The 24,863-nt window shown below is 38.6% G+C and overlaps 1 protein-coding gene across 18 annotated transcripts in view; it reads right to left on the bottom strand.

The window, feature by feature from the left end:
• RYR2 (ryanodine receptor 2) overlaps nt 1–24,863 on the bottom strand; it is a 791,805-nt gene that overhangs the window by 426,563 nt on the left and 340,379 nt on the right. For all 18 annotated transcript variants that reach the window (XR_007062490.1, XR_002957299.2, XM_006711802.4 and 15 more), the window contains 2 exons: nt 20,046–20,145; nt 19,243–19,339 (listed from right to left, as the gene is read on the bottom strand). Coding sequence is in view for 16 of the 18 variants with exons in the window: in XM_006711802.4 (XP_006711865.1) it covers nt 19,243–19,339; nt 20,046–20,145 (197 nt within the window). In the remaining 2 variants the exon portion in view is untranslated. The remainder of the gene's footprint in view (nt 1–19,242; nt 19,340–20,045; nt 20,146–24,863) is intronic.

Genomic DNA, 24,863 nt, shown 5'->3' with positions numbered 1-24,863 from the left:
CCATTCATTGCTGGTGAGAATACAAAATGATACAGCCACTTTGGAAGACAGTTTTGCAGTTTCTTAAAAAGCTAAACATACTCTTACCATAGGATTCACCAATTGTGCTTCTTGATATTTACCCAAATAAATTAGGTCTATACAAAACTTGCATGTAAATATTAATAGTAGCTTTTAATTACCACAACTTGGAAGCAGCCAAAATGTGAATAAACTGTAACACATCCATTGGAATGTTTTTCAGTGATGTAAAGAAATCAGCTATCAAGTCATGAAAAGATATAGAGGGGCCATATATGCAGATTGCTAAGTGAAAGAAGCCAGTTTGGAATCATAACTATATGATTCCAACTATTTAACATTCTGAGTAAAGCAGAACTATGGAGACAGTAAAATAAATATTTTTTCAGGAGTTCAGGGGAGGGAAGAAGGAATAAATGGGGAACAGGGAATTTTGAGAGCAGTGAAATTATTGTGTGTGATACTGCAATTGTGGATACATGTTATTAGTCAAAGTCTATAGAATGTACAACACTGAGTAAGCCTAATTTAGAGAATTAAGAATAATGTGTCCGTATTACTTTATCATTTATAACAAGAGTACCATACTAATACAAGATGTTAATAACAAGAAAACTGGTGAGGCAGAATTCTCTGTGCTTTCTGCTCAATTTTCCTGTAAACCTAAAAGTGTATAATAAAGTCTATTAATTTTTTAAAAATCATTAGGTATTCTAGCTCAACAAATACTAATATAGTAATACAAATATATTAGGAATATATTACAGGGAAAAAAGGAGGTAGTTTTTAGGGCATTTTTTCTCCAGAATATACAAAATAACACCAGGCTATCTCAAATAAACTTGGATTATTCTCTTTAAAAGAGAAGGATGGAGAGCTACAAATGTGTATGTGTAAATGTTGCAAAAGTAAATAATATGAAGAACTATTATCTTTCTATTCTTTCGTAAAAACAACAGTATATAGAAATATAATTGTATTTAGCCAAAAACAAACACTAATTGTTTACCATTCATATTCTAGACACATAGGTATATATTTTAGGAAAAAGAAATATAAAACACCAAAGTTCCTGTATCCACGAATGTACAGTTTGACATGGTAAGAAAGACACGAACACCAAAAACTAGCCTAGGTAGTAGTATGGGGAAACTACGTATAAAGAGATGGGAGAGGGGAGGGGAGGGGAGGGGAAGGGAGGGGAGGGAAGGGAAGGGGAGGGGAGGGGAGGGAAGGGAAGGGAAGGGAAGGGGAGGGGAGGGGATGAAAGGACATAAATTGTCAAGAAGAGCTCTGCAAAGTTTTCATGAGGGAGATATTTGGGTTCACTCCTGGAGCTGAGTAAGAATTCAGCATGCAAAGAAAAGAATGAGGATATGAGGAATGAGAGCGTGGCAGTGAGAGTAGAAAGGCTGCAGAATCATGAAGTAGAATGCTGCCATATTCAAAGTGCAAGAATACCTCAGTGGTTGATGGTGGGATGAAGAGATAAAGTTAAGAAAGTTTTTTCACCTACTTTTCTGAATGGTGGTCACAAATCCACAAGGATAAAAAGGAGTTAAAGATAAAGACTTTGGATATTAATCTGAAAGCAACAGCACAACAGAACCCTCAAATCACAGTAAACAGGAAGGTGCACCCTTAAAATTGACATCAGCAAGAGAAACAAGTCTAATAGAGAAAAAATTTAGCAATAAAATCAATAGGACCTAAAATCCTTCTTTCTCTTGTTTCATAAAAGGTAAAAGAAAAGTCAAGGCAAAGTTTTGAGCATAGTAGACTGGTATACATAACCAAGTTATGGGCTGTAAGAAGGAAAACATCTCTGATGGAATTAAATTAAGGTTGATATATTTGAATTGCTGTCTCAAGTGAAATTCACGCAGACATACGCAATAAGAACTTGAACATTTAGGATAGAAGTTCAGGAGAATGAGTCTGTGGATTAGACTTGACAGTAATTCACAAAGTTCATCGTTGAGGCTATAAGAAAGAAAAGAATGAAAACATTTTGTTTCAAGGGCATTCCATTTGTGGATATATTTGAGGGGAGAACTGCATTTGACATAGTTGATCACCCCACTGCCCTTGGCAATCTTATGCTTTGACTCCAGGATACCACTCTTTCCAGGTTTTCCTCCTACATCACTGGCAGTTGCATCCTTTGCTAGATGCTCCTCATCTCTACAATTTAGGGTCAGTCCTTTACTATATGTCCTCATTCCCAAGGTGATGTCACACAGAATGTTTTGGTAGTCTATTCCTGTGTAATCAGTTACCCCTGACTTCATGGCTGAGAAACACCACCATTTCTTATTCTACCATTCCGTAGGTTGGAAGTCTAGGCATGATGTAGCTGGGTTCCCTGCTCAGGGTCTCATAGGCTGAAATCAAAGTGTTGGTTGGGGCTGGGTTCCCACCTGGAGCTCAGGCCCTTATAGGAGCTCACCAGTGGTTCCCAGAATTCAGTGCCTTGCAGTTTTATGACTGAAGGCCTTATTTCATTGCGCTCTGACAGCTGGAGAGGGCTCTCAGCAACTTTGCAATACAGTCTCCTAAACAGTCCCTCTCAAAACACAGCAGCTCACTTCATCAATCATGGCAGAAGAATCTCACACACCTTGAAGCTAAGACTTCAGGACTACCCTGGGAGAATCTCCCTTTCAATTAACGTAAAGTCAACTGATTAGGGGCCATAATTACATTTGCAACATTCTTTCAGCTTTGTCAAATAATGTAATCTAGTCATGGGAATGAAGTCCGTCATATACCCAGTCCCATCACACAAAAAGGGAGGAATTATATACAGGATGTGTATAGCTGGGGTGAGAATCTCGAGGCCACATCAGAATTTGGTCTTCTTAATATTTGTCCTACTCCAGGTTTCTTATTCTCATTTCCTGCTTTCTTGTGGATTAAGTATTACTATTATATTTTTATGGTTTCTCCTTTAATTTTACATTCTTTTACTATGTTTGCAGTGATTACAGATTACAATATGTATTCTTGGCTTATTATAACAGGATCTAATTAGTAACTTTACCACTTTCCAGACCATGCAAGAACCACCATTTAATTCAAGTTACTTTCCCCTTGACTCATGTGCCAGTGTTGTAATGAGTTGTTCTCTATAATTTTTTGTTTTGAGACAGGGTCTCCCTCTGTCACCACAGCTGGAGTGCAGTAGCAGTGTTGCAATCACAGCTCACTACAGCCTCAACCTCCCAGGCTCCAGCAATCCTCCCACCTCAGCCTCCCGATTATGTAGAACTACAGGTGCATGCCACCAGGCCTGGCTGATTTTTGTATTTTTTGTAGAGATGGGGTTTCGCCATGTTTCCCAGGCTGGTCTTGAACTCCTAGACTGGAGCAATCCACCCACCTGAGTCTCCCAAACTGCTGGGTTTACAGATGTGGGCCACCACAGCCTGTTCTCTATGGTTTTAAAATCCAAGATGTTTTTGCTGTTTTTATAATCATCATTATCATTATTTTATTCACTCAGTATCCTCTGATTTAACTCTCGTATTTATCTTTCTGTGGCTTTTTTTCCGTTTCTATACCTCCAAAGTTACATATGAGATAGTTTTCTTCTACTCAAAGAAACTCTTTTTGGTATTTCCTTAATGTGAATCTGGTGTTGATGAATTCCCTCAACTTTGTCTAAAAGTATTACTAGGTCTGGGTGCAGTAGCTCATGCCTGCAATCCCAGCACTTTGGGAGGCCAAGGAGGGGGGACTGGTTAAGATCAGAAATTCAAGACCACCCTGGGCAACATAGTGGGATACTGTCTTTACAAAAAATTTAAACATTAGCCAGGCATGGTGGCACACGCATATAGTCCTAGCTACTCAGGAGACCAAGGTGGGAGAATCAAGGATTGCTTGAGGCCAGGGGGTTGAGGCTGCAGTGAACCATGATCACACCACTGCACTCTAGCCGGAGCAAGGCCCTGTCCCAAAGTAAATTAAATAAAGTATCACTGTGTTACCGGATATAAAATTTTAGATTGCCAGATATTTTCTTTAAGCACTTTTAAGCTTACATCCCATGTCTCCCATTGTTTCTGAGTTGAAATCAACTGCAAATCTTACTCTTGCCCCTTTAAAGGTACTATATCTTTTTGCTTTTCGAGTTTCATTTTGTGTTTACTTTTCAGCAGTTTTCCTCTGATGTGCATACCTGTGATCTGATTTGTCTTATTTAGGGGTCATAGTTTTTCTTGAATCAGTAGCTTAATATAGTTAGTCAATTTTGGAGAACTTTCAAGCAATTGTATTAAATACTTCCTTTACTCCACGCACCTGTGAGTTCTCTTTGTCTCCCTCCATCCATCTTTCCTCTCTCCTTGGCTGCTTCCTCTCTCCCACCCTTGTCCTTTCATTTTGGGACTCCAATTACATGCATGTAGGATAGACCATCTATAATATCATTTACCATCTTTTTTGTTCTTTTCTATATTTCCCAATCTTTTTTGGGGGGAAGGAGGGTGGAGACAGGAGGCTGAAGCAGGGGGATGGTTTGAGGCCAGGACATCGAGGCTGCAGTGAGCCATGATTTCACCGCTGTACTCCAGCCTGCCCAATAGAGTAAGACTCTGAGTCTCAGGGACTATAGGCATGCACCACCACATCTGGCTTTTCAATTTTTTTGTAGGGATGAAATCTCACTATGTTGTCCAGGCTGGTATCAAACTCCTGAGTTCAAGGTATCCTCCCAAAGTGCTGGGATGACAGGTGTGTGACACCAAGCCCAGCCTGTTTCCCAATCTTTTGACTGTCAGTGTTTTAGTCTGAATAGTCTTCTGATCTGATTTCCAGTTCACCAATTCTCTTTTCAGCTAGTTCTAAGCTGATATTAAATCTATCCATTGTTTCTAAGTTATTTATTTTTTAGTTTTAGAATGTCTATATGATCATTTTTTATAGTTTCCAGTTCTCTACTAAATTGTTGCATCTTTTAATTCTTAGAACATAATAATCATACATATATATATTTTTTTTTCTTTTTTTTTTAAGAGATAGGGTCTTGCTCTGCCACCCAGACTGGAGTGCAGTGACACAATCATATCTCACTGCAGCTTTGAATTCCTGGGCTCAAGCTCTCCTCCATACTTGCTATACTCAGCTCTCCACTTGCCATACCCAGCTAATTAAAAAACTTTTTTTTTTTTGTAGAGACAAGGCCTCTTTATGTTGCCCAGGCAGGTCTCGAACTCCTGGGCCCAAGTGATCTTCTTGCCTTGGCTTCCCAAAGTGTTGAGATTATAGAAACACTGTACCCCACCAGATAATCATAAATATTTTTAATTAAACTCCATTATCTGTGTGTCTAATATCTATGTGCCTTTTTCAGTACTATGTATATGCTCTTGATCTTTAGTCAAGTCCTATCATCTTCTGTGCCCATGTTTGATAATAAGTAAGTAGGCTGATCTTTGTCCTTCATTCCTGGAAGACAGTACACCCTTGGAATTTTCCAAGTGAATAGAAGTGGCTTTGTTATTCATGAGCCCATTACATCACACCTCAGTTTATGCTAATGATGTGGTTCATGGTGGGCCCCTAAATAGCTTCAAGATGGGAGCTGGCCATGCTGGAAAGATAAACCACACGATTAAAGGGGTAGAGGTTTGATCCAGCACAACATCTAGGGATAGGAAGGATGCTAGAGATTGAATTCCATCATGTAGCCTATGATCGAATGCATCATTCTTACATAATAAAACTGCACTCAAACATTCTGGGCACTGAAGCTCAAGGAAGCATCCTGGATAGTGAACACATTTATGTGCTAAGAGGGTAAAATATCCTAATTCCACAGGGAACGAGAAGCTCTGCATTCAGGACCCTCCCAGACCTCATCCTATGGATCTCTTCATTTAGCTGGTCTGATGTGTAGCCTTTATAATAAAACTGCAAGCATAAGTATAACATCTGTGTTCTGTGAGTCATTCTAGTGAGTTATTGAATCTAAAGGGATTATGGGAACCTCTAAATGTATAGCCAGTTGGTCAGAACCGCAAGTGGTCTGGGGATCCCATTTGTGATTGGTATCTGAGATAGAGGCAGTTTTGGAGAAAACTGAGCCCATAACTTGTGCAGTCTGTGCTAACTCCAGGTGGTTAGTGTCAGAAATATACCGCAGTATGCTAGTTGGTGCTGAAACAAAATAGCCTGTTTAATTTTGATTATCAGACATTGTATATATAAAATTATATAGGCAATTTGAGTTTTATATGTAATTTTCTCCCTAAAGGTTTACTTTTGCTTCTTGCAGAATTGACAGACGAGGGCCATAGTAATCTCATATTGTCTTATGGCAAATCCCAAATGGCAATTAATATTATTTGATGCTGGGTCTCAATACTTGTAAGGTCTGGTCTATTTCTGGATCACAATTATTTTAGGGATACAGTTCTTTGAGGTCCCACCAAACACGCCTCTTCTTTAGGGAGATTTGTACAATTTTTGATCCATTTCCATCCTATGATTCTTCTAACAGTTGTGCTTCACTTCTAAGCCCTTCAGACATTGCAACTGCCTAGAGAGAAGAGGCTGCTCCAAACACTAAATTCATTTCCCTGATCTCCTTCCTTTTTGGGACTATGACCCAATACTACATCTTCACTGCTTTGTTCACTCTCTACTTTCGGGGGAAAGGAGAGTGTCTACCTTTATTAGTTTTTCTCAGTGGGAGTGGGGAGGTTGGTGTGAAATAATGTCAACAATTATTATAAATAATGTCTACTATTATTATGAATATAACATTTAAAAATTATCTTTAAAATATAACTATTTCCAACTTTGAGTCTCCCTCCCATCAGGATAGTGAGGAAATCAAGCCCTAATCATTCTTGGTAAAGCAGTACCTTAATATCAGATATTGGGCAGGACCAATTTGCTTGCTAGATCTCCTATATTCAGGGTCTCTCTTTACATGCCCCCTTCCAGTCTGAGGGCCACTGCTTTTTATCCACCTGGGAGACACAGGACATTGTGCTAAAGTAAAAATCTCCACAGTCATTCCCTTCTGACCTCTTGCCACCTCCTTAGAGGCCAGGATGGAATGCGGAGGAGAAGGCTGTCGGGAGCTGAGTGCTTGGTATCCCGAAAGGGGACCCCAGAAATCTTTGCTCTTTGTCCAGTCTCTATGAATGCCTTAAAAAATTGAGATCACTCTGGTCATGTGCAGTTGTAACAAATAATAAAAATCCCTTGAACATTTTGTCTAGTTTCCTCTATAGTAAGAGTTTGACAACTACAGTTTTTCAACAAAGATTTTGATTTTGATACAATCTCCCAAACTTACTAGATTTTTCCAATTTTACTTGTATTCATTTGTGTGTGTGTGTGTGTGTGTGTGTAAGTTCTAAACCATTTTATCATTTGTGTAAGATCCTGGTGTAAGACACAAGAAATCTTTCTGAGTTTCTCTTCAAAGGGTTTAGCCTGTTAACTTCTTTATCCTTTGTTCTCAAACTCAACTTTTTTGTTCTTCCTTGCCCCTAGTTACCGTAAACACCCTACCCCCTTCCCATCAGCTCTAATCAATAACTCACATTTGTTCACTTGGTTACCTATACCCATTGTTCCCCCGAAACTGCACGTCTCACACACTCCACTTCTGTACCTCCCCTCCCCTCCCCCACTATATTTAGGAAAATATGTACAAGTAGCCAATGGAGTCAGCTCAGATTGTGCGGTCCAACCCTAGCCCATGGGGGAGTGACACAGAGATAGGGGCTGCGTTAAGGATAAAAACCCCCTGGTCTCCTTTGTTCTGTGTGCACTTGCGAACTTGATTGATGTGAGTGACACCCTTCTGCAGAAGTAGATTGCCTTGCTGAGAGCATTAAACTTTTTCCTGAGTACTGGTTTTACTTCATGGCACTCAGCATTTATTCCTGGAGTATTTTATATCCAACACTGGGTTCACCATCACAGGCAAGATCCTACGCCACAAAGTTCCTTCAAGTTGCCCTTTTATATCCACATCCACCTCCCTCTCATTTCCCTCCCCTGTTTCCCTAACATCTGATGGCCTATAATCTGTCCTCCATTCCTAAAATTTTATCATTTAAAAATGTTATGAAAATGGAATCACACAGTATGCAACCTTTGGGGATTGATATTTTCCATTCAGCATAATTGCCTGGAGATTCATTGAGGTTGCTGTGTGTTCAATTTTTATTTTTTATGTTTTTTTTGAGACAGAGACTCACTCTGTTGCCCAGGCCGGAGTGAAGTGGCATGATCTCAGCTCACTGCAACCTCCAACTCCTGAGTTCAAGTGATTCTACTGCCTCAGGCTCCTGTGTAACTGGGATTACAGGCATGTGCCACCATGCCCAGCTAATTTTTTGCATTTTTAATAGAGACAGGGTTTTACCATGTTGGTTGGGCTGGTCTTGAACTCCTGACCTCAAGTGATTCACCGACTTTGGCCTCCCAAAATGCTGGGATTACAGGTGTGAACCACCATGTACAGCCAGGTGGTTGTGCGTTTCAATAGACCATTCCATTTCACTGCTGAGTAGTATCCCACGCTATGGACATACCACAGCTGATTCCATGTTTCGATTATTACAAATAAAGTTGCTCTACACCAAGTATTTGTGTACAAGTTTTTGTGTGAACACAGTTTTCATTCTTTAGAATAAATGCCCAGGAGTACTATTGCTAAGCCACATGGTCATGCAGGTTCAGTTTTTTAAGAAACTGCCAAAATGTTTTCCAGAGTGGCTGTACCATTTTACAAGCAATATATGACAGTTTCTCTGCATTCTCACCAGCACGTGGCTGTCAATATTTTTGTTTGAGTCATTCTGATAAGCATACAGTGTTATCTCATTGTGGTCTTAATTTGCATTTCTATAATGGGTCATAATGCTGAACATATTTCTATGTGCTTATTTACAATCTGTATGTCATCTTTGACAAATAGCTGTCATGGTTTTTGCCTATTTTCTAATTGAATTGTTTGTATTTTACTGTTGATTCTTTATGTATTTTAGATACTAGTCCTTTATCAGATATGGTTTGCAAATCTTTTCTCTCAGTCTGTAGCTTGTCTTTTTACCCTCTCCACGTGGATTTTTACAGAGCAAAACACACTTTCTCCTGTTGATGAGATTCAATTGTAAAATAAAAATAAGATACCAAGCCCCCCAACTGACTGAGCAGTTCCTCTCTTGGCTGAGAGGACCCCAGAGAAACCTGAAAAACTGAGTTCTGGCCATGATGAGACAAGAGGTTAGACACATTTCATTATCTCCCTTCCTTTTGGAGTCTAGACACAATGACTGGCCGGCATTCATGTTAAAATAGATCTCAGAAGACTGACAGAACAGACTCTTCATGACAACAAGATACCAAATTATAGACCAGGTGCAGTGGCTCATGCCTGTAATCCCAGCACTTTGGGAGGCCGAGGCGGGTGGATCACGAGGTCAGGAGATTGAGGCCATCCTGGCTAACATGGTGAAACCCTGTCTCTACTAAAAATACAAAAAATTAGCCAGATGTGGTGGTGGGTGCCTGTAGTCCCAGCTACTCGGGAGGCTGAGGCAGGAGAATGGCGTGAACCTGGGAGGCGGAGCTTACAGTGAGCCGAGATGGCGCCACTGCACTCCAGCCTGGGTGACAGAGCAAGACTCTGTCTCAAAAAAAAAAAAAAAGATACCAAATTATAAACAGGGTGTAAGGCCAGGCCATACAAGTGTTAAGTCCCCTACCCCTACAGGTCACTCAGACCCAGGGTACTGGTTAACAGACTTCCTTAAACATTACTTTCTGCTGACTCCAAATTTTTAGGCAAAGCATTGCTCCTTTAACAAGTTGCAGATTAAATAATCTTTGAACCCACTTATGACCTGTAAGCTGCCACTTTAAGATATCCCACCTTTTTAGGCAAGGCTGATGTATATCACCTCCATGTATTCACTTATGACTTGGCCTGTAACTTCTACTTCCCTAGACTGTATAAAACATAGTCGTGACATAACGGCCTCGGGACCATTTACTCAAGGCTTCTTGAGTTTGTGTTTTTCCCTGGGCTTCAGTCACTCATATCGGCTTAGAATTAACCTCTGTAAAATATTTCATAGATTTTTGTCTTCTCTGTTAACACAATTTATCATTTTTTCTTTTCTTTCTTTTTTTTTTTTGAAACAGTCTCGCTCTGTCAGGCAGGCCAGAGTGCAGTGGCATGACCTCAGCTCACTGCAATCTCCACCTCCTGCGTTCAAGCGATTCTCCTGTCTCAGCCACCCAAGCAGCTGGCTAATTTGTGTATTTTTTAATGGAGACAGGGTTTTGCCATGTTGGCCAGGCTGGTCTTGAACTCCTGACCTCAAGTGATCCACCTGTCTCAGTCTCTCAAAGTGATGGGATTACAGGTGTGAGCCACTGCGTCCAGCCTAATTTTTTCTTTTATAGACATACTTTTGGTGTCAAGTTTAAGAACTCTATGATCCCAAAGATTTTTTTCTGATTTTTTTTCCCTTAAAACTTTTATGTTTGTTTTCCTAAAAGTATGTGCTTCATATTTAAGTCTGTGATCTATTTGGAATTAGATTTGATATAAAATGTGAAGTTTAGGCCCAGGTTCTCTTTTGTGTATGTTTGGAAGTCCAGTTGATCCATGTGAATGTCTTTTAAGTCTGGGGAAAACGTCTCCTTTTTCTGTCTGAAGAATCCCTCTTTCCTTTCTGTTCAAGACATTAAGCATAACAAATGCCTTAGATTTAGTCTTTGGGGACTGAGAGTCAGGAAGAGAGATGCCTTGCAGAAAACTTGAGCTTTCTGCCAAGTCTCAAACCTCCCCTCAGGCAAAGAAACACAGGGACTGCTGGCTGCTTAAATGGGAAGAAATAAGAGAAAATAGTGGGAGAAAACATAATTTAACATCACAAAAATTGTGCATGTTGGCAAGTATGCAAATTCTCTATGGAAGAATCTGTAGCATATATTAGATTCTCAAAGATATCCACAACCCCAAAAATGCTTTTGTTTTAAATCACTGTTATCAACGTTCAGATTCCTATTCTATTGGTCCAGAGACTCTTCCCGTATGTAGAGTTACTCACTTGAAATCAAGGTATTCTCAATATAGATGACTTAGCCAAGCATACTGGAGTCATTCATAGTCCTCAAAATGTTTTCTACTCACTCAGGTTGTTATGCTGATTTATTAAGATGGCTTTCTTTCCCCGCCCCTAATTGCTGGCAGATAACAATCCTTCAGGAACTGTCAAAATTATATAAATGGGGGACCTCACAACCAAGGGTGATTCTCTATACAGCCATCCTTAACCAAACTTACATTAAAGTGCAAGAGTTATTTTTTCTCCGTTTCTTTCTTTCACAAATACGAAACAATAGCATTTGTATGCAGATTCCCATATATACCTCACTATGCAAAAGGTATGCAAGAAATGAATGGCACAGCCCTGGCTGAAAACTGAATGGAAGAGATGAATATGCAGACCAACACGTGTGATCAGTGGCACTATGGGATGCGGGAAGTGAAAGTGTGGGGAAGTTAAAGATAGTCCTGGCTGGGCGTGGTGGCTCATGCCTGTAATCCCAGCACTTTGGGACATCGAGGAGGGCGCATCACGAGTTCAGGAGATCAAGACCATCCTGGCTAACACGGTGAAACCCCATCTCTACTAAAAATACAAAAAATTAGCCAGGCGTGGTGGCGGGTGCCTGTAGTCCCAGCTACTTGGGAGGATGAGGCAGGAGAATGGCATGAACCCGGGAGGCAGAGCTTGCAGTGAGCAGAGATCGCGCCACTGCACTCCAGCCTGGGGAACAAAGCGAGACTCTGTCTCAAAAAAAAAAAAAAAAAAAAAAAAAAAAAAAGACAGTCCTACTAGCGGACGTGTCCTCAATCAAGTTTGGTTGTGTTCGTGTATGACTAGACCCTCGTATTTAAAATGCATGTAGGAATCGTCTGAAAAATAGTTACAGTCACCCACAATTACTCACCTGCAATTCCCATTTAGAGTTGATATTGAATAGCAGGTTCAAACTAATTAGAGAAAAGCAAAGCTTTTTTGTTAACTTTTTATAGGCTGACAAAAATATCCTTCAAAATCAAAGGTCAACAAAGACTTGGCTGATCTTTCTCACATGGTTGAATGGTAAAATATGTTTTCTACCATCTAAGTTTTACCAAAATTATAAATGGCTTCTCCCAGATTAACATTCACTTCATCCTGAATATAGTGTTGTTGAGATCTTAAAAGATGGTGATATGGTTTGGATTTGTGTCCCCGCCCAAACCTCACATTGAATCGTAATCCCCAGTGTTGGAGGAGGGGACTGATAGGAGGTGACTGGATCATGGGGGCAGATTTTCCCCTTGCTATCCTTGTGATAGTGAGTTCTCACGAGATCTGGTTGTTAAAACTGTGTAGCACTTCCCCTTTGCTCTCTTGCTCCTCCTCCAGCCACGTAAAACATGCCTCCTTCCCATTCGCCTTCTGCCATGATTGTAAGTTTCCTGAGGCCTCCCCAGCCTATAGAGCCTGCAGAAGTGTGAGCCAGTTAAGACTCTTGTCTTTATAAATTACCCAGTTTCAGGTATTTCTTTATAGCAGTGTGAGAACAGACTAATAGAGACGGTGAGTTCCAGAAAGATAGTGGCAGGGCCTTAGACATGTTTTCATACCCAGCACATGCCAAAGATGTCTGGGCTATACAAGTCCCTCAATAAATATTAAAAGAATTGAGTTGAGGTGATTGAAAAGCAGATCCAGTCTTAAAAGGTTATTTCAGAGTGAAATTATAAGCGTTTCAGTTGACACATTTTCATAGGAGAATTTCTGCTGCTGGTACCTTTGGGAGCATGTGGCTGAGCAGCTGAGCCGCAGGCAGGTGCTAAAGCAGCTGTCAGGAGTCTCTTCCTAGTAACAAATCAAGAAGTACTTGCCTAACCAGCATCCCAAGAAGCATTACTTGTTTATTCAGGAGCTCAGTTTGCCACAATAGCTCTATTCAAGTTGCTGCACAAGGGAAAATAGGTATGTTTTGAGATGACACCTCTGCATAAAATGTAAATGAATCAGCACAGATTTGAAACAACAATAGCTTACACTTTGAATCACCATTGAAAGAATCATGTAGGTAGGACTAGAGCAGAAAAACAACAAAATACATGTTGTTACCATTGCTTTGCAGAACACAATACAACCATAAAGGCATCTGGAAATTTACAAAAGAAGATGCTTCTCTTTCTTTTTTTCTTCTGAAAGATATTGCTTACATATAGATTAAGTTAATAAACCCAGTGTAGACAAGTCATGTTCTTAAATTTTAATTGAGAAAATCATCGAGAGATTTTTTTGTATAATGTTGATTTTAATCTATTGTCTGTTTTTCTATTCATATACTCTAAATGCATCAAATGTCTCATTGTTTTTCATTTTTGCCAAGATCCAACAGCTCAAATTCCTATGAATGTTTTTAATCTTGTGTTAGAAGCCCACGTTTTTGAAGCAGTCATTTTACCCAGTCCTTGCCTTGAGAGTGCGGCTCTAGACCAAGTCAGGCTTCCAGAACACATGACAAACTACAGCAGCTACTGCACTCTCTGCAATCAGCAAGGAGTTTAAGTTTGGGGTAAAAAGCGAATCTCTCCCAAAGGAGAAGAGGCAAAGAGCAGAAAGTAGCTCTCCTTTATGTACTGACTATTCCATCAAGACTGTTTAGCTAACTCATCTAACTCTCAGTTCCAGGCTGAAAAGATATATGCAGGACCTGAAGACAGAGAAAAAGAAGAAAAACCCTCATAGGTTAAACTTTATCCTTGACCATTTTGGAGAACAACAGAATAGCTTTAAGAGCTTCCTCCTAGGTGGTGGCCAAAGGCATACAAATATCCTCACAAGGATATCAGTCATCCAGTTGTGTACACAGATATAAACTATGCATCTCTTTCTAAGCCAGATGGAGAGGCATTTAATTCATTACATCCAATCCATCTCATGCCTTATCAATTATTTACAACTAAAGCTCATTAAATCATCATAATATTAAAAGGGGGCATGGAGGTAAAAATCTTGTCATGCATACACATGGCATAGCTTTTTCCTGCTGAGTCACATTTTGGGAAGCAAATGTAGCATTTATTTCCAGATACTGTCAGAAACTATGACTTAATTGGCCTGCATTTGAAAGTAACAAGACACAGCAAGCATATGCCAAGAGCAATGCCAGATAAGGTGGAAGAAGAACAAGCTTTCTCTCCTTCTCTCCCCACCTCTCCGTCATACCACCCCACAAAACATACCACACACATGAACACTCTCCATCCCCTTCCATGCATTATTTTTCTCCTTAGCTCTTATCATCACCTAATGCATTTCATCTCTGTATATGTGGGTAAGTGTATACATTTAGAAATAAACGTATTTATTGCCGCATATGCCCACTAGAATGTAAACTTCTTGAGAAAATAAACTTTGTAACTTTGTGTATACTACTATAGCCCCAGCACCCAGAAAATCATAGTCATTCTACACATTCTTATTGAATCAATAAAAAGTTTCGACATTGCAAACCTGTTTTTAACATAAATAATGCTTTTCAAACAATGTTTCCTTAATAGATTTCCAAACTAAAGGCCCCAAATAATCTTCCCCAATGCATCCATTTTAAAATGTATCAATATAAAAGTATGCACAGTTTATTCACATAGTGCATATCAAATCCATAAATAAGTCTATGTGCACATAAAGGAAATGCCTTTGTTGATATTTTATTATATTCACATAAAATTTTGGATGGAAATAATGAGATGCAATCTAGAAACAAAATCTAGAACAGAAAATACTCTCCACATAAAATATGTCAGGCTTGAAATAAAATTTAGTAGTCAAATGTCAAGCCTCCAGAATGAAAGCCTATTTAAGTTTTTATTTTTAATGTTTGTGGGTATGTAGTAGGTATATATATTTATGGGGTACATGAGATGCCTTGATTCAGGCATACTATGCATAATAATCACTTCAGGGTAAATGAGGGATCCATCACTTCAGGCACTGATCCTTTGTGTTACAAACAATCCAGTTACACTCTTTTAGTTATTTTTTAATGTACAATAAATTTATTGTTGGCTATAGTTACCCTGTTGTGCAAAAGCCTATTTTTAAAGCAATAATTAAAACATGATTGACAAGGGATACTGACACATCCCTTCCCAACTACCAGACTTGCTTCTCTTTAACTCATTCTATCTCACTAATTGAAGAGTTTAATAAGAACTAAAAAGTTACGACACTATAGTTAATACTAATGAGCTCTCTCCCTTATACCTGACTGCTCACAACTACTATAGGTTATATTTTTACTATTTTTGTTGTTGTTTAGACAAGTTGTCTACTAGTCATTTTAGAGCGATTTGTCTTTCGGAAAAAAATCTCAAGTAACTTAAAACAATAATGATGCTGTATTTCATGAACACGTCAGGATTCAATCCATAAAAGCAAAATGGGCAGGAAGCATGAGAAAAAGATAAATATTTAGTTTAACTCTGATAGGCATCATCTCCAATTCAGTTGTTCTTAACTGAATAGCTCTATATGCTCTTCATTCTAAGAGCTTTATTAACATTCTTTAGGAGAATGAATAGGTAACCACATACACATACATATCTAAATGTGAAGAGGAAGGTAAAGGTAACTCTACTGATATCCAGAATCATAAAACCCATTATTGAGGTGGATTTTCAATAGCTACAATTACAGTTATGTATATTAAATAACTGTCAATAGAACAAAGCAGGAACAGGTGCACAAATCCATGTAGAAACACAGCATTTATGACCAGACTATTCCTAAATCACTCAGAAGTAAACATCTTTTCTGGCCATCTCCTTAATAGTTTCCACTATGTCTCCTAACAAAGTAAATTGGACTTTAGTTATTTAACGTTAACAACAGCATACAATTAATGAGTATAGCCAGATCATAATTACAGGAAAGAATTATAAGGTAAAAAATTTTTTTTACATATTTCCCAGGACCTTCTCTAGCTTTCATGTCACTGTGCAAAAATCAAATTACTTTTACTTCTTTGTTTAATGAATGAAAAAAGTATATTTTTAGATGATCATTATGCATGTCTCCCCCAGTACAGACTGATAACAAATAAATAAAGGCTGCTTCCGGGGTGAGCTATCCTTTGCCTCCCCCAAGTTCCTTACAATGACCTAGGGAAATAACAGAGGGAGGTTGAAAACTTTCTAAACAATGGTATTAACAAGATTTAGAAATAATGAAGTGCTATATAATTGTGAAATTCAAGGAATTATTTTTATCATTCTATTCAAATAATTGCTCAATCCCAGTATAACCAACACAAATAGTTTTTTCTTAAGCAACATCCCTTCAGCTCCATGCTGCCTACTGCTGACTCATTTTCTCCCTCGAGTCATAATCTGACATCCATTTTAATCTAATTTCACCCATGTAAATATGCTATAAAAAGGGACACAAACAAACGCGTTCTTACCACCATCACTACCTACCAAGAGTCCTGATAGGCTGGTCTAATTACATACTAAGAATAAGTTGAACTGAAATTATCAACATGAAATCAAGAAGACTATTTGGAAAGGAGGGGCAGGCTTCAACATATATGCAAAGGGAGAGTGGGTCCAGAACATGATTAAAATATCTTTGAAATGTCCCCTAGATTTCTCTGCAATCATAACTAGCCATCGAAAGGATCCTCTTGGATCCAGTCTGGCCTCTCTTCCTACAAAGTCTATGCTCTGCCATTCTGTCATCCATATGCCCAGAGTCCCTCAAACTTTTCAATCATATCTGGCTAAATGCTGCCTCTTCAGACTAAATAATAGCAACAGACTAAATAATAACAATAAATGTGTTGATTTCTCAATATGCATCAAGTATTTTACGTGTATTTTCTTATTTAGTCTTTTCAATAGCCCCATAAAGCAGGAGATAATATTTAAGCTGCATTTTACAAAGAGGGGAAACCATTGTTTAAAGAAACTATGTCACCTACATGAGTCACACAACTGGTAAGTGGCAGAGCAGAACCCCAATCCCAGATCTGTCTGGTTCTAGAGTCCATTACCTTAACCACGAAGCTCTACAGTGTCTGTAGATACAGCCGAAAAAGCTCTAAGAAACACTTAGTCTGTCTTCCATTTAACAAATCAGGGACTGAGGATCCAAAGACTCTGGCATGGTCTCTTATAAGCTCTAACTCCAAATAAACACACCATAGCATTTAACATATCCACAACCCAATCCTTTGACTTCAATGACTAACTTCCCTGGTTCCCTACTAAACTATCACTCTGACTCTCTTGCTGACTCTTATTTCTCTGCCCACATCCTAAACATCAGCATTCTGTAGGAATCCATCCTCAGCCCCCTGCCTGATTAGGCTATTCCAGGTCTTTACAGCCTTCATAAGGCCATGCCCAATCGACAAACACATCTAATCCCAGCTCTTCCCTCTCCATCTGATGAACATATGATAGACCCCATTCCTTTAAATATCCCCCTTACACTTAGAATTTGCACCCATCCCAAGTTTTGTTAAGTTAAAGACTCAGACATCCCAATTTCCTACTGGACGTCTCATAGACTGTACTCATCTGTAACCAAAGTTTAACTCCATCTTTCATAGCAAACATGTACCATCTCCTGCAATCCTTAGCTCCAGCTGTCTTCCCCTGAGGCAGAAAAAAAGATGGCGCTGGATTAGATACCTTCTCTCACAGCCTGTGTCTAGTTCTCCCCTAAACCCATCACTTTTATCTAAATGTCTATGATGCAAGTAAACCTCTCCATTCTGATGGCATTATCTGGGCTAAGTTCTTGGATTTTGTCACACGAATTACTGCATTTCATTTCCGTGACTCAGATTCTCCCCACCTCTAATCTAAGTTCTCCTTGCCTAACAGAGTTATTATTTTAAAAGAGAACTAACTATTCCACTCTGATCCCCACATCCCTTCCTAACAACCTCAGAATAGAAGCCAGCCCACGGGAATGGCACTAAGGATCTTTCTCTTGTCTACTTTCCACCTTTTCCTCCATTTTCCCCCTAATCACTCTGGAATAATTGCTATTCCCAGAATATGCTTGACATCTCTCTAGTTCTTAAGTTTATATTTCTGTTTGAAACTAATTCCTTATCCAAGTGTCTTAAAATCTCCATTATCTTTTATACAAACCCTACTGACACCATCGACATCTTCTTCCTAAACCTACTGAAAGAGGCAGTTTTAGCTTACGGAATGTTTCCAGGGGACTTATGTCACTCTTGACCATTATCTAGGTCTGCCTGGGAACAGAGGTTAAGACCCAGTACCCAGGTCTCAGAGGGACTTTTCCTGAGATTATGCAGCTGGTTAAATGACTCTTAATTTTCTAAATGGTCCCTATGTATTTTTATTAAATTATAAAAATAAATAATTATTAACTAATAGTTACCTAAGTGTCCATGTTAATATGAAAAATGTCCACTAAAAGATTTAAAGATACATAACAAACCATCCACACAGTACCTTCTCTCACTGCAATCTCTTATTTACATATTCATCTTACTACATTCATTGATTAATTTGTAAGGTAGAGCAGTAGCAAACTATTCTAAATATTTTTATGGTTTTGTAATATTTGTGCACTTTTCTCAGTAGATTCATACTATTGTAATCTTGTCCCAGTGCCAAATAAATTAACATGAGAGAGGTATTATATCAGATTAAATATGAGAGAAAGTGATCAATTCTATCATCTGTATCAATAAATGAGAGGTCATAGCAAAGGGTCCTAAAATTGTACGCAATTTGAGAACTCTGACTTCAAAACTGAGTTTGAGATTAAACATTCTAAAAAGAAAATTAATCAAAACTAATGAGCATTTAATGAAGTTCTAAGTAGTTTAATGCAATGTGGTCACTCTTCTCACTTCGTTAATTTTGTTCAGTGTTTCTTAATATGTTTTAATTATACAAAAATTTTCAGTTCTTCTGTTGGTAGGTAATAGAAATATAACATGAGAAAAAGCTAAGAGGGGGCAACAAATGGATCACTTCAGTGAATCAATGAATGTCAGTAGCCCATCTTGTATGATGCTACTGGCCTGAATGAATAGATCCCTAGTTTTTAAAACATTACATCAAGGCAAAAGAGTGCAAGTCTCAATGCAATGAGCTCAGGTACTAACCTCCGCTGCTCTTCACCATGTTCTCCTGAAGGGACAGTGAGACACTCGTCCATGTGTCCATGCAGCAACCTGAGGACATCACCACCAATGAGATACCCTGTAAGGATAAAAAATCATTCAGGTCTGGACTGTCAGTGTCAGGTGCTGATAGCCAGACAGATCATCTGGTCCAATCTTCTACTTTCGTAAAGAAACTGAAGTCTAGTGAGTCTTAAGGACCTGGCCAAGGTCACAGAGATAGACAGTGCCTGCTGTTCCCTCTGAGTCCTGGGTGCCCGAGTCCCACAGTTAGGGATATTCCCACTAAAAGCATGACCTCAGACACATAAAATCCTCTGTTAAACATACAAACACATTTAGAATCAAATGTGAACCTATGTAAGTTGGAATAACCAGAACATATACAGATATTTCCCTAGGAAACCCTGCTCCTTTGTAAAATTCGTATTCCAGCTATAAGGCATGACCTCAGAAAATAAGAAATCTTGACATTAGTCCAACCAGGCAATACTCTGAGGTCAAAAAATTGAAGAAAACAATCCATAGGAAGCTATCACATAAAGCATACACAAATAAACTAAAGCTGACAGTAGCATAAAAATAAGGGAAGATTAATCTTCACCCAAGCTTCACTGTTAAAATAGCAGTTTAAACAAGATCCTCAAATGTCAGGTATCTGCATTACAGAATATTTAGACACAGACAAAAAGCTCTAATTAACAATCAGCTCATTATCACAATTCCAAAGATGACTGTCAACTTTGCAGCAAGGACAGGCCCTCTAATTGAAGTGGAGTTTTTACCTTGGGCTGCCTCACTTCCTGAGCTGATTGGGGCCACGCTCCAGAGAGTCTGCTGGAAAGCGGCATCCACGTGTAAGCTGCCGTTGCCATAAGACAAGTGCTGTATCAAGAGGCAAAAGGAGGCATCACTTCAGGCTCTGGTAAGCTGTAACATGTAAGTGCTTCTAGGAATGCAAACTTAACGTTGCTGATTTGGTTATGTTCATAGAGAACATCTGTTTCAACCTGTCATTCAAGAATCAAAAAACTAGTCAGAAGAAAAGAAGTTCCTCTCTGAATTTACGGATTTTTAAACTTCATTCTAACAGTTACTGACTTAAGTCAATAATCAAAATATGCATAAATGAATACACTAAATAAGTTTATTTGTAACAAGATACTATTTTTGTTTTAACGATGGTTGATGAACAAAATGAGCACTTAAAATTATAATTAGGTTTTCTACATATCACACTCTGACAGCTTTTTGATGATGAAGTAAGTGAAATCTATTGGACCAAGTTTATGGAGTCTTCATTTTATGAAGTCCTTAGGCGTCTTATGGGGTCTTTTATGGAGTCCTTCAGGAACTGTTATCTGCAATTTGATGCAAAAGCCATTAGATGGCGATATTTCCTAACAGCTATCTAAAACCAAGCTACATTTCTTCCGAAATTCAGATACTAGCACATTTCAGATTTTCCTTCCTAAAAATAGAAACACATTAAAATAAAACATACTTAATATCTTTTAGAGCCATAAGACTGAATTATCAAATGTTAACTAAGAAAAACAAAATTACTTGCTTATTTTACTCATCATAACTTGGCTGCCTCTAGAATTTCAAACATACATAGAGCAACCACCTGTTTTCGTGGAGTCTTCTCAGTAAACATCGCCAATATCCCTGCAATGTTTCTGCAATGCTTTGCCAATGCTGATGACAGCCTAAGTTTTCACAGACTTTAATCAGACCAGAAATTTCCCAGAAATCTTGACCATCTTATTTAGATGATCAGTCACGCCTAAAGTAGTCACCTTAGGTGTACTCCACAGGCCTTTTAAACATCCTACGGGTCTCTTTAACATAAAGATACTATTCTCAAGTCACCATCAAGAAGAGGTCGTTCACTCTCTTTCTCTTAAAAATAAAACCAAAGAAACTTTAAACATTGTGATATGTACACAGTGTTTATCAGTCATTTTTCCAATGAATAAGATTGAAAGTTTACCAGTTGATACATAAGACTTGGCAATAATTTGCTCTTATTCCTCTCCTCAACCTCAACTAGCTGCCTGCTTTTGTACAATTTCTTCTTTACTTCAATCTGTCATTCTTACAGTCTTAGCTGTAATCCCAGCTAAGATTCCTTTATTGACTCAATTTCTTCTCCAGTATGTTAAAACTGTTTAATTGTTTACAAATAAATCATATCCCATCTGCTTTAACAAACAAGCAGAATATATTTCCCTTCAAAGCAATTATCACACAGTGAAATTCTTGGGCTTATTTTCTTTTTCCCTTTTAGAAGCTACCTGACACAGGTTCACAGCTGTGTTCCTAGCATCTGGCAATGTTATCCAGTAAACACGTATGTGGAGAAGCTAACAAAAATCATAAAATCAAAGTATCATAAACATAAAAACACACATTTTAAGCTGTTCCATAAATACTCGTATTTCAATAACCTAGTGTAAAAAAAAGCACGTGCACAGGCACACACACATACAAATCCATGTGAATGACACCGATTTTAACCAAACTCTGAAAATAATTCAAAATACCCGTGCTCATATCTGTGTCCAAGTGAAAGCTCATGTAATATTATGATAAGTAGATTACCATCATTTGTTAATTCATCATGGGTTCACTGAATGTACTATGTATATTAATAGTACACATTCTCCACCCCAAGGGTGCTTGTAATCTCATAGAGTAAAATACATACACAAAATGCTGTACCTCAGTATATAAACATATCACATGTGATATTTTGATACATGCATACAATGTGCAGTGATCATATCAGGGTAATTGAGATATCTATCACCTCAAACATTACACACAACACTTTTTATATACTGAGGTACAGCATTTTGTGTATTTTGTGTATGTATATGCATATGTAAAATATATACATATTTATGGGCTACATGTGATATTTTGTACCAATAAAATAAATTATGTACCAATTAAATTAAAAAATAAATACGGCCGGGCATGGTGGCTCACGCCTGTAATCACAGCACTATGGGAGACTGAGGCAGGTGGATCACGAGGTCAGGAGATTGAGACCATCCTGGCTAACATGGTGAAACCCTGTCTCTACTAAAAATACAAAAAATTAGCCAGGCATGGTGGCAGGCACTTGTAATCCCAGTTACTCAGGAGGCTGAGGCAGGAAAATGGTGTGAACCCGGGAGGCAGAGCTTGCAGTGAGCCGAGATCACGCCACTGCACTGCAGCCTGGGCGAAAAGAGCGAGACTACTTCTCAAAAAAAAATAAAATAATAAATAAATAAATGGATATGGAAGGTAGGAAAAAGCCTTTAAAAATGCTGTGTAAATCATAATCAACGTGCTACAGGAATTGTAAGGAGAGAACACTGCAGACAACAAAATGAGAGCAGAGTTTCTCATGGGTTGGGGGCTTTGAGGGAGCCAGTAGGATCACTTGGCCTGTGTCTCACATTTATATATTTGCTGTCCCCAAACAAGTGTCTACATACATTGGATTTGAGTATGTAGATTAGTAATGTGAATGCGCTATGTGCAAATATTTAAAACATACCAAAAATTTTTGTAAACCATTTGGGGATTTTTATTTTTAACATACCAGAAACCTTGCTATCAGAAGTGGGCTGGGCCCCCTGGCCCTCTAAGAAGTTCTGAGAAGGGGAATGTGTGATAAGGGGAATGTGTTGAAGACAAGAGCGTGAGCACAAAGGTGGAGATACGGGGACATACATTACAGCCGAGAGCTTTGTCTTTGGGGCTGACAGCACATGCTAAGAGGTGGAATGACTGATAGGTCCACAGACAAAGGCTGGCGCCAAACCAACGACCTTGATTTTAGGTAATAAGGAGTTTACAGCAGTAATAAAATAGGTGACGGAGTTAAAAAGGCAATTTCCAAATCATATCTATGCCTGAAGATAAATAATAAATATGAGAGAACCATAAGCATATGAAAATTTCAGTCTGTGGGAAAAGGTCCCAAATATGTCCTTAAGATCATATTACAGTCATATAAAGTTCTCTAAATAAGGTCTACTCTTCTGAAGAAAATATTCTAATTTGAATGCTTCCAATTTTGCTGCTTAAACAGCAAAGGGAAGTCTGGGTAAAAACTACATCACGTCAGGCTTGTGGTATGCAATATTCAGAAAGCAACAACAGTTTCAGTTACTGAAACTGAGATGAATTATCCTTAAAGCAAAAACAGACACTGGCAGAGGATGAAAGCCAAGTCGGCCTTAGGCTGAAATATGTAACCACTGCAGGATTTACACAAAAATATAGTAGCACCAGTCCACCAGCAGCAGTACAAGGGCTTTGGGCACCAATCTCTGGGCACCCGGGTCTCACTTTGATCCCAGGACTAGTGATTTTCAAGCTCTAATAGGCACATGAATCTTCAGAGGATATTGTATTTAAACATGTAGATTGAAGGGCCAGGCGCGGTGGCTCACGCCTGTAATCCCAGCACTTTGGGAGGCCAAGGCGGGCAGATCACGAGGTCAGGAGATCGAGACCATCCTGGCCAACACGGTGAAGCCCCGTCTCTACTAAAAATATAAAAAATTATCCGGGTGTGGTGGCAGGCACCTACAGTCCCAGCTACTCAGGAGGCTGAGGCAGGAGAATGGCGTGAACCCGGGAGGTGGAGCTTGCAGCGAGCCGAGATCGTGCCCCTGTACTCCAGCCTAGGCGACAGAGCAAGACTCTGTCTCAAAAAAAAAAAAAAAAAAAAAAAAAAAAAACAAGAAAAAAGAAAAGAAAATGTAAAAAAATCTAGATTGGAATGCAGAGTAGTTGCAGGGGTTGTCAATCAAGACTGCTGATCCAAGAGTAACAAGACATTACACGATAGAAGTGCAACATCTCAGAAATGGAAGGGACACGATAAATCACCTTCCAGGAGTTCTTTAGCTGGAGTACACAGACTATACTTCAATACCTTTAGTTTCCTTTGTTATCCTACGTATTTATTTTATGCACTTCACCATTTTTATGATGAGGTCAATAAGTTTTATCAATTTGCAATGGAAGTCCATGGTACAAAAACTTCGTACCAAGAATCTCTCAATTGAACCCTTATCTGATGCAATTATTCATTCATTTATTCATTTTTTATTAAACTTTCAGGTACTTCGGCCCTGGTGATGCAACATTCTGAACAAATTGTCATTTAAGGACAGGAAACACAAGTAAACAAGTCACATTACTCCTCAGGCATCAGTTTTTTCTTCTGAAAAAAAAAAAACAAAAACAAATGAGGGGCAGAGAAATAGATGTTCTTTCCAAATGTAATATTTTATGGTTCCATTACCTGAGCCACAGAGGAAAGAAAGGCTCACAGCAAATTAATCAAAAATGAATTGGTTCATATAATAAATCACTTGAAAATATTTATGATCACTCTTTTATCATTATTTTCACACAACTTGAGGCAGTTCAGCAATTTATTATGCAATCAATAATTATCTATATTTTTTATTAGAAATTTAAAACCATCATTCTCAGCAAACTATCGCAACGATAGAAAACGAAACACCGAATGTTCTCACTCATAGGTGGGAATTGAATAATGAGAACACTTAGACACAGGAAGGGGA

This window comes from Homo sapiens, chromosome 1 (assembly GCF_000001405.40).
Source record: "Homo sapiens chromosome 1, GRCh38.p14 Primary Assembly".
NCBI lineage: Eukaryota > Metazoa > Chordata > Mammalia > Primates > Hominidae > Homo > Homo sapiens.
This window is presented reverse-complemented; position numbering and strand designations above follow the sequence as displayed.